The sequence below is a fragment of the Homo sapiens genome, chromosome 18 (assembly GCF_000001405.40).
Source record: "Homo sapiens chromosome 18, GRCh38.p14 Primary Assembly".
In the NCBI taxonomy this organism is placed as follows: Eukaryota; Metazoa; Chordata; class Mammalia; order Primates; family Hominidae; genus Homo; species Homo sapiens.
In genome coordinates, this window is record NC_000018.10 from 68832293 (window position 1) to 68848952 (window position 16660).

A 16660-nucleotide genomic window follows, 5' to 3' on the forward strand; every position below is an offset into this window, starting at 1 on the left:
GAGACTTTCCTAAGTACAGAGGGATTTTTTGGATTGCAATACACTGTTTGCTCCTTTCAAAGATTTAGTTAAAAGTTGTGATTGTTAGTTTGGTTTATTGTTTATGATTGTTAGCAACATTCAGGATGGCAGAAGTGATGTCTATTTTGTTCACTTTCAAGGAGCAGGTCAGCGGTGGATATTCAACCCACTTTATTTTGTTGTTGTTGTTGTGCTGTGTTTTGTTTTGTTTTAGGCTTTCAGCAGCCGGAAACCTTGGTTTTTAGCTTCTGTTTCTAGTGATAGGTGGAAAAGAGGGATGAGGAAGGGGTTTTACTACCCCAGTCAGAAACAGAAACTAAGAACCCAAGACTGTGTCCTCTCCCTTGGATACCCTTAGACAAAGGGCCACTAAGGGATCTAGAATTCTCAGATCACGGGTTTAGTTAGTAGGAAAGTATAACCTGCTACCTGAAGGATGAGAAGCCAGGGGGAAGAGAGTCTGCGGAGAGTGGGGAGCGTGCTCCTGCAGAGCAAACAGGTTGCACCAAGGAGAAGGTGGAGGTGAGGTTGTGCAAGGAATGGACACATCCAGGTAGCCGACACAGGGGATGTGGAAGATGGAGTGACAAAGAGGAAGCCAGAGGGATGGACAGGCCTGGACCTCACAGTCCCTTTGAGCTATGATGAGGAGATTGAATGAACTCAAAGGACAGTGTCAGGATGAGAAGACTAATTGTTGTGTAATTTAATAGGAGATATTTTAGCTTAAAAATATCCAAAGTGGAAGTATGCCAAATGTATTCCTGAAATACTCTAAAAAATTTATAGTGAAAACAGTTGATATTTTGAAGCTGCAGAATTTTCATATGAAAAGGTGGTAGCTCAGGATTCAAATTTCCTCAGTTTCCAAACTGGGTTGACCCCTTCTAACTGTATGACTTGTCTGGATACATCAGAGCCTAAGCCCTAGTTTCTTTATCATTAAGACGGGGATAATAATAGTACTGACTATTCCACTGATTGATATCAACATTATATAGAAATTGGAACTGCAACTTTATTACATACAGAACATTTTTGTAAATTTCATTTTTCCTATGCTTTTCCTGTTTTTTTTTTTTTTTTTAAGTACACCATTTCTCTTTCAAGAGACAGAGGGAAAAACACACAAAAAAGTAAATGGTACAATTAGTATGTCAAGGTGACTTACTAATGACTTGTATAACAGAGAAAAATGTATGCTTTGCCTGCAAGGTAGCTAGGGCTAACCAATCTGCAGGCCTTTTCCCTTTTAATAGAAGAATTCAATGAGGCCCATGCTATTCTTGTCTCCTTTTATACTAAGGATATTTAATGAAAGGCAGTTTTATGTAATTGGTCCAAGATCATCGTCTAAAAAGTGGCAGAGTAAGACTCTACCTGATAGAGGCTGGTGTCCACTGACACATTAAGTTCTTCTTTGGCAACAAATAATATTTTTTAGTGATATTATATATACTTTGTAGACCCTTAACATTTTATTTATTTGGTTATGTACTACATTCAAAAATATTTGCAGGAATCATGGTGGCCTGATTGTATGAGCATTTTTACAATGCAAAAATCGGTACAAGAAACCAGAGTCAACATCGTTAAAATATTTTCCCACGTATCAGCGGCCCTGTCCTACAACCACTGGCAAATACTTTCATAGTTGTCTGAGCTAAAATACGAAGAGTGCACACATTTGTATAGGGAAATGAAGACTTTAGTGCATATGCATATGTGTGTTAACCAGTCTCATCTCAAGCAAGTTTTCCTTGCCTGAGAAAACTTTTTAAAACAGGAAATACTCTCCAAGTTCAAGGACTGACTGATTAAGCCCAACTCATTTTTATTTAGTCAGATGTGAAAAAATACACAGTTAATTGGTAGGCAAGATCTCAATGTACCAGAATCCAATTATGGCATCTTCAAAACACTAGTGAAATAAAAGTTAATGAGACATTTAAAGACATTACAATTTTATGATACTGATTTATTTTGAAAACTAGCAAGGATAAATTTAAGTTTAATATGCTGAATTAAATTCTCTGTCTTCACTTTGGAATTTCAACCAAAAGAAATATCATTAAATAGTGAATAGTAAATATATATATGTAGTTGTATATGTAAATACATATATATATATATATATATATTTGCTGTGTTTCTAATTAAGAGTTCCTTTTGTTCTTTTCTTTTTTATATTGGTGTTGGAATTTGGTCAGTTGTATTCTTATTGCCCTCTGAATTATAGTAAATGAAGGGAACAAAACACTCCAAATCAGCAATAATTGAAACATGACTGGACATATACCAATGCTAACAAAACTAATTACAACCATGAGTCTATATTATTACAAGTGTTACAATGAAGAGTGAAGTGGTTTGACATCTCTATATAACACTTGTTAAAATGTTTTTTCTCTACAATTAAAAGTTAATATTAAGTTTAAAATTATAAGGTCTATTAATAAGATAGCCTTAATATTCATCTTTTAAAATATTATATAGTCTTTTTTTCCCAATGATTAAAGGCTTATTTTGTAAGTTAGTTAAAGTAATGAAACCCATTCAGTTGATTAAATAGATGGGTCATAAGGAGGTGATTTATGATCTGTAACTATATAAAAGCAGATGAAAAAAAGTGAGAGGATTTAATGTCATGCACATAAAATATTATATAAGATTATTTACACCAGAAAAGCGTATCTGAGAATAAAAATGGGTAATTATATACAGCCATGGAACTTTATTAATTTACAAATTAAGCTGCATATTTTCAGCACTTTTTAAAGCAAAAATTCTACTTACTATATTCTCAATATACCTAAATTAAACTGTTGAATAAAGAATTGGGTATATGTATTGTTACATATGGTATACCTTTACAAATTAATTTGTGTGTTGGTATTTGTATGGAAAGTTGATTTTAATTCCTTTACAAAGCTTTGCATTGGGCTAAGACTCTGTGTAGTGTTATCTATGCTGTAAAGTTTCCTCATTTCTAAGCGATAGTCATAACTTCTTCAGTACCCCTTAGATTACCTTGACCATACCTAAGAATCTAACACTGACTTGACACATATTACATAATAAATAAAGTTATTGAACAAATGCACATATTTGTTATAATGTGAATTATGTATCTTTAAAACTTAACTCTGCTTCTCTCACCCACCAGACTGTAAAATCTTTGACACACAAGAACCATGTCTTTTTCATAATATTTTATTTTTGACCTTATCACAATATTAACCACAGTAAGAAATTAATTCATGTAGAAGTTAGATGTGCTTTTGCCTGAAAATAACAGAAAACTCAACCATCATAACTTAAATAAATATAGGTTATCCTGCTCACATAGCAAAGGATTCAGAGGTATGCATTCTACGTGTCATGCCATAATTCGCACCTTAAATCAGTCTCTTATCTTCATGATTCACCATTTTGAATGTTATGAGAAGGCTGTTATACTCACCTTCTTCCAGAACTATGTCCTTATTCAAACACACGGAAGGCAGAGGAAAGAGAGTTCCTCATTGTGATGTTCTCATATTTTTCTAGATGGGAAATCTTCTCAGTACCCTTCATCTCACATCCCAGCCGCCAGAGCCAGACCCTATGGCTGCCTTGAGACTAGTCAATAGTCAACAGATGAAGGGCATCATGGAAAATGTAGACTATGATTCAACCTCTGGGACTGGGATAGAGGCTTGTTAACCTATAGATCAATAGGTTGTGCATTCTGCCTGAACAAATTGAGGCTTCGCAGGGATAAAGAAAACCATTATGTAGTTAGTGGACAATAAATATTACAATTTGTATTTCGTAGTGGACAATGTTACAATAGATATGACCTAAGTAGAACTGGAATTGTCAAAATGAATTATTTATGTCATATGCTATCTTCAATTGCATCTTTATATTTTTATTTGTATTTGGCAAAATTGAATACGAGCATTTTCTGTTTCTTAGTGGATAGTTACAAGTGTTTAAATTCCTCTGTATTTTTAGTTACACTGGAAAAATATGCAATATTGAAAAAGCACGGCCAGGCATGGTGGCTCACGCCTGTAATCCCAGCACTTTGGGAGGCTGAGGCGGGTGGATCACGAGGTCAGGAGATCGAGACCATCCTGGCCAACATGGTGAAACCCCATCTCTACTAAAATACAAAAAATTATCTGGGCGTGGTTGCGCATGCCTGTAGTCCGAGCTACTCAGTAGACTGAGGCAAGGGAATCGCTTGAACCCTGGAGGCAGAGGTTGCAGTGAGCCGAGATCATGCTACTGCACTCCAGCCTGGTGACAGAGCAAGACTCTGTCAAAAATAAAAAAAAAGCATTGTTTTCATCAATTTTCAAAAAAAAAAAAAAAAAAAGTGTAGGTCTTGTTCCTGTATTTACAAGGGAAATTTCAGCGTGAAATTATGGTCTCTATCTTTTCTCAGGTCTTAAAAATAAATATGAATTTAGATTCCATACATCGATTAATTGAGGAAACACAGATCTTCCAGATGCAACAATCATCAATTAAGTCACGCGGCGACATGGTGGCACCTGCCTCACCCCCCAGGGATACCTGTAATACCTGCTTCCCACTTCATGGGCTACAATCTCATGCTGCTCACAATTTCTGTGCTCACTCATATAACACCAACAAATGGGATATTTGTGAAGAACTTCGCCTGCGGGAGCTTGAAGAAGTCAAGGCCAGAGCTGCTCAGATGGAAAAGACCATGCGGTGGTGGTCGGACTGCACTGCCAACTGGAGAGAAAAATGGAGTAAAGTTCGAGCTGAAAGGAACAGTGCCAGGGAGGAAGGAAGACAACTCAGAATAAAACTAGAGATGGCGATGAAAGAATTGAGTACACTGAAAAAGAAACAGAGTTTGCCACCTCAGAAGGAGGCATTAGAAGCTAAAGTTACCCAGGATCTGAAGCTTCCTGGCTTCGTAGAAGAATCCTGTGAACATACAGACCAATTTCAATTGAGTTCACAAATGCATGAGTCTATCAGAGAGTATTTGGTAAAAAGACAATTTTCTACAAAGGAGGACACAAATAATAAGGTAAGAAAAAAATCCAGAGATGATGTGAATTTCTGAAGGTCATATATAGTGATGGGGAGGAAGAAGGAAGTGACAAATGCAATGGTGATTATACTAGCCTGCCAGGGCTACCATAACAAAGTACCATAATCACAGTGGTTTAAGCAACAGAAATTCATTTTCTTACAATTGTAGAAGCTAGAAGTACAAGATCAACATGCTAGCAGGGTTGGTTTCTTCTGAGGCCTCTCTCCTTGGCTTATAGAAAGCCGTTTTCTCCCTGTGTCTTCACATGGTCTTTTCTCTGTACACATGTCTGTGTCTTAAGGTCTTCTTGTAAGGGCACCATCATTAGGCCCACCCTAATGACCCTAATTTAACTAAATCACCTCCCTAAAGGCCCTGTCTCCACCAACAGTCACATTCTGAGGTACTGGGGGTTAGGAGACCTAACAAGAAAGATATGTATATGTATCCTTCGTCTGACTTCAATACTTTCCGTGAACAACACATCTTATTTTATTGCTTGTCAAAATATTATAGTACAGATGATTGCAATGCTCATTCTTGAGAGAATTAAGGAATGAATCATCCTAGGTAACCTGGAATCCACATACTACTTAAAAAATAAAATAAAAGTGAAGTATCATCGAGATTTTACTGGAACTTGACTATTCATTGAGATTTTATTTGAAATTGTCTTTCATTTCAAACTTATAAACCAGGGCAAATTTAAATTGTAGGCAAATACCAATAGCATGAGTCCTGTGAAGTTTTTGAGTTACGCTCTAAGAGTGTCGTGCAGTTGTTGCTCTAGTACTGATGTCCATGTTTATTAAAGCGCCCCATTAAATTCTATTTAGATGTGACTCATGAATTAAAGCAATAAGGGGAACTAAAATGAAGCAATAAGCAAGCTTTTTAAAATATTCAACAGCTTCCTGAAAATTCTATCTTGTCTTTCAAAAATGTTAAAAAATGATTGCTTTGAAACTGTAAGTGTCTTATGACAAAAGAAACTTGAAAGAGGAATTCATCAACTCATTAAAAATTATTTACAGCTGTTCAAGTTTGTGCAGAGTTATTTTTAGCTGCGATTAGAAAAAGAGAACAAACAAGAGTTAAAGCAGAACTTTTGAGAAATGTATTTTTTTTATGAGAAAGTAGAACATAGAAAAAAACAAGCTCAAAGAAGAATGCAAGTAAGTGTGGCCACACAACACTTTCAGGGAATGATAATGAAATAAAAATATGAATTGGTTGTGGTATCGTAACATTTATTTCTTTATGAAAATGTTTTGTCATCATGATTTTTCTCCAGGAGGTTTAAATATGTTTTGTTTTGTTTTGTCTTCAGGAACAAGGTGTGGTTATTGATTCTCTAAAATTAAGTGAGGAGATGAAGCCCAATCTAGATGGTGTTGATTTATTCAACAATGGTGGTTCTGGAAACGGTGAAACGAAAACTGGGCTGAGACTGAAAGCAATAAATCTGCCTTTGGAAAATGAAGTAACTGAAATTTCAGCTTTGCAGGTGCATTTGGATGAATTCCAAAAAATCTTATGGAAGGAAAGAGAGTAAGTGCTAATCATTGTCTCCCTTAACCAAGTCTAAGTTTCAAATCACTTAAAATTGTTAATACAGATAGATTGGTCATTTGATAATGTATTTTATCCATGTTTAGTCATTAAGTTTTAGGATTTAAAGAAATTAGTTTGATATATATTCATATGTTGAATTTTAAAATGTAGTTTATAACTTGTTAGTGTTTTCCATTCTTTTAAGTTGACTTTTATCATGACTATGTTTTTATCTTCTCTGGTAGATTCACTTTAATTGTATATGAATTCTTAATGTACAAGGTTAAAATATCCAGTGTATTATTTAAGTTTGACAGCATCTTGGACTTGGTCAGTAAAAATGAATAAATATGTTAATATTAATAGTGGAAAAATCACAATTTTGTGAGATATTTATTACAGAAAAAGTAGTCTTATACATGGACCATTAAGGGCATCAGGCTTTTGCTTAATTGGCCTGGATATTCATCTTTGGTCTGATGTCTTCTAGCTATGTGATGTTGGCTGTTGCCCCTTTGTGAAAATAGCTGTAGTGCTGTTATGTTCCAGTTATCTATTATCTTGAAACAAACTTTTCCAAGTAATTATCATTAAAACATATCAACAGCAACCACCCTGTCTTCTGTTCAAGAATCGCGAGCATGGCTTGGCATGGACATTGTATCTCTCACTTGTGCCTTCAGTTGCAAGGGCTCAAAGGCTGGCAATGCATGGAAGGCTGGGGGCTGCAGCCTCTTTCACTCATATCTGGCAGTCCATCTCGGTTTTCATCTATGCCTCAGTTGGGACACCTGCACTGGGGCTATTTAAGGGGGTGCTTGGCTTCCTCACAACATTGGGGCTAGGTTGCAAGTGAACATCTTAAGAACACAGAGAGAAGAAAACGCCATTTGAATGATTCTGCCTCAAAAGTCAGACCCACTTATCGGTGGTGAGAATCTCAAAGTCTGACTCAGATTAAAGAGAGAGAGGCACTTTCAATGGAAGGAGTGTGAAAACAATTTTATAATAAGGGTGTGTGGGATGCAGTCATTGTGGCAACGATCTTTGCAAAATACAGTCTGTCATAGCCTTTCTCAGTGAATTCTCATAAAGATCAAGAACAAATAACATCTGGGAAAGAGAATAGTAATATGAAATGTTCAATATGGATTTTCGTTTCTATGCAATCAGCTTACAATTTTATTAGCACAATGTGGAATATCTAATATATAAATAAGGTTCCAAAATCTAAAAATAATTATTTTTTATCTCTTAGTTATAAAAATCTTAATAGGCAGAACCAGAAAAGCAAGAAGGATATGTATGCATATATACACACAATGTATTATATAAGTATATATTATATAACAGTTTTAATTTTCCTGGCTTGAATGGACTGAAATAGGGATAAATATGCATGCTAGCCATTCACAAATACAGTAAGTTCTTTACCACTTACTTTCTGCCAGAAGTTTCTCATTAGTCCCTCTGAAATTTACTAGTGCCACCAATTCCCTTTTTCAGATTCTTCATCTGTATTTCACTAGATTAGTAGATTGTGATCATACAAGTATCTATGTACAGAATAAATATTTATTACTCTACCAAGTGTAAATTCCTAATAGAGGCAACCAACATTAGTAGAAAACAGAATAAAAATGAATTTAATTTTTAGGCTCGTACACATAGTGACAATTTTATCTAGCCCTATACATTTCAGTCACATTCTAATCTCCGTGGTTTTACTTCTTGAAGCATTTAACTTTTTGGTAATTATAGACTTCTCTCCAGCCCACATACAATATTACTTCCCCAGTGCAGTCTAATAGGAGCAATGCAGAGCTGTGTTTTTCTAGATGTAAACTTCTATTCTAAGGTGTCAGTTTTAAAGATATGCATGTTCTGTCTTAACACGCTTATCCATATACATATACACAACATATACTTTTTACTTTCTTGGAATAAATGAACAATTCTCAGAGTAAGTACATTCTGCAGTTCTCAGTGACTTCAGTCTATAATCCATAGACAGGCCAAAGAATAAGAGAAAAAAGGAAGCTTTCCATGGCTTTGTCTTCCTACTCTCCTCTTTTAAGAAACAATCCCACGGACGTGATGAGTCATGGTTCCTGTGTCCATGAATCAACATTTGCATGCAATCCGCATGAGGCAATCAGTCTTTTTTTCTATCACAAGAGAACATTTTCCAAGAATATAGGATATGCTATTACTTATAAATCCATCTAATCTTTTAAATTCTTCTTCCTGGAATATCAGTGAGTGGGTGGCTTCGACTGAGATGTGAATGTATTTTTTTCTGCATTCCCATCTAGTGGGAAAATTCTCTTCTTGACTAGTGCACAGAAATCAACTCAGAAAACTCAGGGACTCATTTTTTTCCATTGTCCTTGACTAGAACCTCCTCATCAAATAGATGAAACTTTATAGTTTTCTTTGCACTCTGAGTACTGTTCAGTTTTATGAATAATTATCCAGTGTATAAAAGTTTCTCATATACTGAGAATTTATATATTTCTGTTGACTTTCATAAAGACTTCCCAGGTAGAAAATTTGGAGTAAGGCCAGGAAAGCTGATCCTCTTATAGGCCTATGTGTACCTAAACATTTGGGAAGCTGAGGTTTGGCAATACCAAATCTCAAGTAACAGAGACTGAGATAAAATAATTTGAACTGTCCCAAACTTCAGAATCAGTTTTCAAATTTCACTGCAGAGACCTCCTTTATCACTTGTAAAATGTTTGTTCTGTGTCCTTTAAGCTGAGCTTCAGTCCTCCCTTTCCATTTTATCATTTTATCTTTTTTTTCTTTTCTTTACTTTTTGAGACAGTCTCGCTCTGTTGCCCAGGCTGAAGTGCAGTGGTGCAATGTAAGCTCACTGCAATCTCAGCCTCCTGGGCTCAAGCCATCCTCCCACCTCAGCCTCCCAAGTAGCTGGAATTACAGGCTGTGCCACCACGCCTGGCTAATTTTTTATTTTTTTATTTTTAGTAGAGACGGGGTTTTGCCATATTGCCCAGGCTGGTCTCAAACTCCTGGCCTCAAGTGATCTAACCGCCTTGGCTTCCCAAAGTGCTAGGATTACAGGCGTGAGCCACTGCGCCCAGCCCATTTTGTCTTCTTAATTTATTTTCTATGTAAGAAAAGTAGCATGCTTCATTAAATGTTCAATTTTTTTCTTAATGAGATTTAAAATCCAGGTTAGAAGCTTCAGCAAATTAAAAATGCTACAAAGGATATTATTTTTTATATATGTATGAAAGACACAGATTTCTACTTTACATATTTAAGAAATTATATATATAAAGTATATATATATATATTCCTCAATGAATACATTGACATGCAAATCTGGTTAATACTATTTAATGTAATATTTGTAAATATTTGAAAATCAAGCTTATTTTGTTACTTTATTAACTGTCACTCATGGAATATTCAATAAACCTTTACCATTTTTTGACTCTCCAGTGTCTATTTTGTGTTTTGGCAATTCACTGCCAAATGAAACAGAGTCTACACCTGTGCATAGATTATAAAAATGCCAGTAAGTCTCTACCAGGGTTTCCTTTGCAATGAGGGTACAGACACTTGACTTAGGAATAGTGCATCAGAGGTGGCCACCTAGACTTTTAAGCCAAGCCAATACCGCAAGGCAATAGACAGCATCTAGAATCCATACCTAAGCGAGAAGCAGCAGCAATAAAGACAACTTGTTTCCAGAGGCAGCGGTGGCCTCTGGTGCTTAGTGACACCACTCACTGTCCCGTATTGGTGATCTTGAGGTCCCGCTGTGATGTCTCTACCTTAATGGTGGCCGAAATAGTGTGCTTACAGGAAGATTTTGATGGCTTTCTCATCAGTGTTCCTGGCTGCATGTATTCCCCAGAAATATTTTGAGCTATAATGTCAATTTCCGCTCAAATTTGCTAATTTGAATACGTTTGCTTGCCAGACACATATTACCAGGAGAGTGTAGAGGCAACAGACAGAGGAGGTTACAGGCAGTGGGGTCTTCATGGGACCAGTTTTGTGGCATGAGAGTTGGTCTTGGTCCCTGTCCGCTTCATCTGCAAGCCTTGTTCTATAATTCTCCTGGAGATCTGAGCTTAACAATATTCTTTAAACACTTATCTTTTCTAATTAAATTAACTGTATATGGCTTGGCTGTTTGCAACAGCCGAGTGCTAACACCCAGTGCTGAAAGATGTAATTATGAATAGTAGGAAGTGCAGTTGCAAAATGACATGTATGTTGCTTAAAGTATATTTGTAAAAACTTGTATTGTTAACAGTTTAATACTATCTCTAAATTTTGAACTGTTATAAAAATGAATAACTGCATGTTATTACAAGATAATCATTTGATTTGGTAAGAACATTTTTATATTAATACACCTTTTCAGAAAATCATGATTCAATTTTTTTCCAGTGAAATTTCACACAGTTCAACAATGATTAATATTTATTCCTAGATATTAATTTTTAGGACCTTTCATCTATGAGAAATATTTGAGTAATATTCTTGTCTAGAAATTTAAATTTTATTTCCAATTATTGTGGAATTGTGACAGTAAACAAAGTATCAAAAAATGCATAGAAATAAAATCACATCTTTTCATAAAAATAATTTTGGTTCACATTTTCTATTTTAGATTCTACAAATTTTATATACTTTAGCAATATTATTTTTTAAACTTTATATCATCATATTAAAGATACGACATTTTTGCTGAGCTTTGTCTTTTTAATTTCGTTCTCATGAAGAATGTGTACATAAACTATGCAACAATTTAGAGTAAATATTAGGTGTTTTCCTTTGCCTTCTTGTAGCTCAAATACTCTGACAATAATATACATCCCAATTATAAATTGAACTATATTATTCATCAATTTTGAAAATCTCTCTGAAACACAGAATAAAATGATTAGGCTAGAAAATTAAGGATTTATAGAGTGCCCTCTGCTGCATAAATTTAGACATACAATGTCCTTAATGCTGGCAGAGACACAAAAGTTTATGATGGGGCTATCTAAATACTAAAAAAAAATTTAAGTATCCCATTGTCATTAAATAATTTTTAATGAATTGCTTGTTTTCTCACTCCCCTAACCAAATGGTAACCTTTTACATAATAAAAATGCATACTTTTCTTTTAGGAAACAAATACATATCAGATATTTTCTTTATGATGTATATTTAAGGAGGTAACTATTACTTTCTTTGAAAATTTTTGAATTTGAATTTATTTTGAGTTTCTAACTTATCATTTGATTCATTAAAGTATAATATCAAAAGCAGACATTTGATTTCTCAACATGTATGATTTTAACTCTAGGTATTTTTCAAGTATGTTTCCATTCTATTATAAATAAAATAATTCTCAAAATTAATTTTAAGGAGGAACATAAATATATGCTTCATTACACAAATGCAGTTAATTAAAATCTTTTATAAAAATATTTTATTAATTTAACATATGCCATTTGCTTTTTCAGTTTTTCAGTTACTGACAAGACATTCCCACATCCTACACAAGAAAATCTAAAAAATTAAAATTATAAATATGGTGATTCTTATCTTAAACATTCCAATGAAGTTACAAACTTAGTACAATTTTATTATAATTTTCAATGTAAATTCACAGGTCTAAGTCAATACTCAATATCTTTTAAATATTCTATTTTATCACCCAAAACTTAAAATGCACTCAAATGTTAGATATGCAATATATTTCACCATATGATGATTTGTACATATACTTTCTAAATCTAACACAAAATACTAATACTTACTGATTTATTATTTCTCTATTTAATTATTTTCCTCTCATCATCTCAAACGCAAGTAGTAAAACAAAAATTATATCATTATAAGCAACTTGGGTGTCCTCAGCTGGCTAGGTTTACTTTTCTATCTGAAATTGTGACCGCTGTGGTTAATCTGGATTATAAACATTCATATTCAGTGTTCAGAAGACCTAAACTTTCAAGTTGAGTCTCTTTGTTTGTTAATTTTGTTTAATATATTTGCTATGTTAATAAGGGATTCCGGATCAGAGTCCTATAAGTGGTGCTTTGCACCATTTTTTTGCAACCTATGTCTTTTGAGGTTAAGCTAAGCTCTAACTAATTCTTTTATATCCTCTTTCAATTTTGTGGCTTGATTTATGTAAATATAATTATATAACTTTTTAATAGGCTGCTTCTCCATTTGATTGAATTAAACTAATATATTTACAGCCTAACACTACTTTGAATTATCATAGTATTGTTACCAGGAAGAATCATTTTTCTTATAAATATGTAAATGACATTCAATATTGATTCTGCATGCATTTTCTAGCTCTGTGAATATGTTTCTAAGATCTTTCTAGTGACATTTAATATCACTGAAATAGATCCGTATATTAGTTAATTATGAATACAGTAAGTATGTAACTAACAATCACAAAATCTCAGTGTCATATAACAATCAAAGTGTATTTACCTGGAGCTCAAACATATAAGTTGTTTTCAAATTTTTGTTTCTATCATCTCTGCTAATATCTCATTGTCAAATCCTAGAATTGAGGAATGAGGAAAACAACTCTGTCCGTGGAAATGGAGGAATATCAATGAGTATTTTTGAATAGTAATCAAATCTACCTTACAGATAAGAACAGGCCAGCTTCAAAGGTCAATATATGTTCATTACAACCAGAAATAAAACAATTATCAATGACTCAGACATTGTGGGCAAAACAAACAAACAAAAATCCAGTGGTTGGTGTATTAAAGGACTAAGTTTTTATCCTAGTTCTGTTGCTAGTTCTACAAATAGAGAAATTAATTTCAGTCCTTTAGAATAATTTAAATAAGGATCCCAGTGAAATTTCTTTATTACAATCAAATTTGAAATATTTAAAATTATTTTTAGATCCCCAGTAAATGACTATTTTTTAAGATTGTTAGGTGGCTTGTTGGAATTCTGGGTCATTTCAAATGATTTTTTTCATTCACATAATAGCCACAATATGAAGATGGATAGAATTCCATGTTAAAATTAGAAACATATATATCCTCCTATGTAAGAGAATATTATGAGTGAAAGGAATTGAGAGGCAAGCATGAAATACACAGAAGAAAGCAAGCAGAATGTCAATACTGGCAAAGCCAAATTAAATATATGTAATCTACTGTAAAGTTAATTGTCAGAATAATAAACTAAAATACTTTTATTCAATATTTATAATTTTTAATGAGTTGCAAAATGTTTTCTCTCATTAAGATGATCAGTTACAAATATCAAAAATTAGGAAAATGCCTATAAAATTGAATGCATCCTTGAAAGTATTTTAAAATTGAAGCCGACTTTTTTTCTTTTAATTCTTAAATTATTTAGAATGCGCACAGCTTTGGAAAAAGAAATAGAGAGACTGGAGTCGGCTTTGTCTCTGTGGAAGTGGAAGTATGAAGAACTGAAAGAATCAAAGCCAAAAAATGTGAAAGAGGTATGGGGGAATATGATGTAAAGGAAGAAATGAAGCCTAGCTTTTTCTTTCTTTGGATATGTAAGCATGTGGGCAGAAAGGCACAACAGATAAGAGGAAGGGAGGTTAAAAATTGGAATTTCCTCTATAAGAGTAATACTTGAAATCACTTGTCAATAGTGGGCTTGGTCAAATTCAGACTCTATGACATCTTGTTTTTATTTACACATTTGTGTCAGTTTTATATTGGTCATTATTTATTTTCAAAAATCTTATTCTATATATTTAAGATATAAAAATGATGTTTTGATATCCATATTGATAGTTAAATGGTTAATGATGAGCTACATGACACAATTAATACCCATTCTAGGCACATTAGAGGGGATGGTTAAAGATATCCTCTGATAGCACACCATCTATCATAAATGACTTTATCTTATTCTTTCATGAAGCAGCCTGATAATATCAATTTATCTCAGGCATATTGAGGTTCTTTTCATATCGACATTGTAGTTATTTGGGATCAGCCACTTGCCAGGGTACTTTTCTTTTGCATTTTCATCAATAAAATGCCATCATGAACGTTTCCCATTTCGATGATTTATTACCATTTATTATTTGAGTAATATTTTACATGTTATGTGTATTAAAGCATGGTATTACATAAGTGTGTGGGAAAGAATAATGAGTAAAGAAAAGAAAAATAATGGGCAAAATAATGACTATTTTTACATGAGTTAACATTTAGTGGGTGTGTGTGCAATATAAGTATAAGGTATGCACATGTATACGTCTGTGCACAAACATATACATGGATATACGGATCCATAGTATTTCTATGCACAGGAACCTCTCTGGGTATGGCGTTCACAATACATTGATGTATAGTGGAAAAATAGTTCATGACACAAAAACACATTATGTTTAGAATGTGTGTTTATGTGCTCTATAATATAATGGGTTCGAATTTTGACTGAAAAAGCTAATATTTAAGATGCAATTAGTGTAAAATTTAAGTAAAAAAAAGAATGCATTTACTACCTCTTGCCACTAGTGTGCAGCACAGACTTGTTAATCTTCCTCTTAGTTTCATAAACCTTTATTTGAGTAACATTTATGTAGCAAATATACTGAAAAAGTCAAGTTTTTGAGTTGGTTTAAAAAGCAATATGTGTATCTGAAAAGGTTTAATGTTTTATATTCAAATATGACTTTTGGTAGCAAAGTAAGTGAGAGAAAAAATAAAAGTATGACATTATACAGTGTAAGGTGGATCTGATGACCATTCAGAAATATGTATTAATACATATATGATGCTTTTGGTAGATAAAATGCTGATAGGGTTTCAGAACAGGAGAAACCTCAAAATTGTGAAAAATTTGTCTTTTGAGTGCATATTTCAGTTAAATGAACCACAAAGTTGAATAATGAAGGCAGTGAATGTAAAATTTTGTAGACATTGAAAATTTATAAATATAAAGATGAAACATTGTTTGAATTATTTATATGGAAATTTTTTAAAAATATGTCTTTTCATTCCTAACATACATTTCTGATGTTCTTATGTTTTTTTGAATAAATGTGTTATATACATATGTTTAAATTATTTTTATAAAATAAGGTGAAATTTTTAAAAATGTTTAAAAACTAAACAAACAATACTACTTAGAATGAGTTTAATTATTTATATATTCTTTGTTTAATCATTTCTTATAATGGGTTATAACAGACAAGAATTTTAGGCTATATTTAGAAATAGTATTGTAGCACAAGTATAAGAGTAAAATATTCAAAGTCTCCGTACAGTTGATTGACAATCAGAAGGTGTGTCATGATTCATTCTTTAAAATTTCATGTAAATTATTCTTTCTTACTCCCTTTTTCCTCAACAATTCTGATAATGACCTTTGCATTTATCGTAGCTCATCATCTCTATGAATGTTTGAATACAAGTGTAATTTCTGTTGTAGATGCCTAAAATGTTAAAAGCAAATACATGCCTGTCTAAGAACTGCTGATGGAAAGATTAGCAATTGTTAAAGTTGGAAACAGATGTGCTTAATAGACCTAGAATTGTAAAAATGCATTTGAAAGTCTGGTGTGCTTTTAGAGGGAAATCATTCTTCAATTACTGACACATATAGAGAAGAGAAAAGATAAGAATTTAATTGTAAAATCTAAGTGTTTAAAATACAACCAAGACAATGCATAGTAGAGGTAATTATATCCAAAGTGCTGTTTCCATGCTGAATTTAATACTTACTCAGCTTTTCCTTTGCAAGTCTGTCTATATTGATTCAGAATTAAATTATGAATTCTGAGTGTGTGGAAAGGATCATTTATGAAATTTCATGGTCTAGAGGATCAAACATTCATGTAGGTAACATTGATTACTCATAATTCTGGCACCTCATTTTAACAGTCAGTGACTCTGATTCTTTCCATAATGGAAGAGATTCTTTGCCACATGTGAGAATACTTGCTAACATTTAAAAATTAGTCTCAAGGTAAAAAATTTTTAAAAAGTAACTTTTAATTTTCTTTGAACA

At 33.2% G+C, this 16660-nt stretch overlaps 1 protein-coding gene across 8 annotated transcripts in view; it reads left to right on the top strand.

Moving 5' to 3' along the window:
* The window catches only part of CCDC102B (coiled-coil domain containing 102B), a 342906-nt gene that overhangs the window by 117077 nt on the left and 209169 nt on the right, over positions 1–16660 (top strand). For all 8 annotated transcript variants that reach the window (XM_047437804.1, XM_017025973.2, NM_001093729.2 and 5 more), the window contains 3 exons: positions 4457–5077; positions 6414–6634; positions 14021–14129. In XM_047437804.1, coding sequence (XP_047293760.1) covers positions 4472–5077; positions 6414–6634; positions 14021–14129 — 936 coding nt within the window. In that variant the 5' untranslated portion in view covers positions 4457–4471. The remainder of the gene's footprint in view (positions 1–4456; positions 5078–6413; positions 6635–14020; positions 14130–16660) is intronic.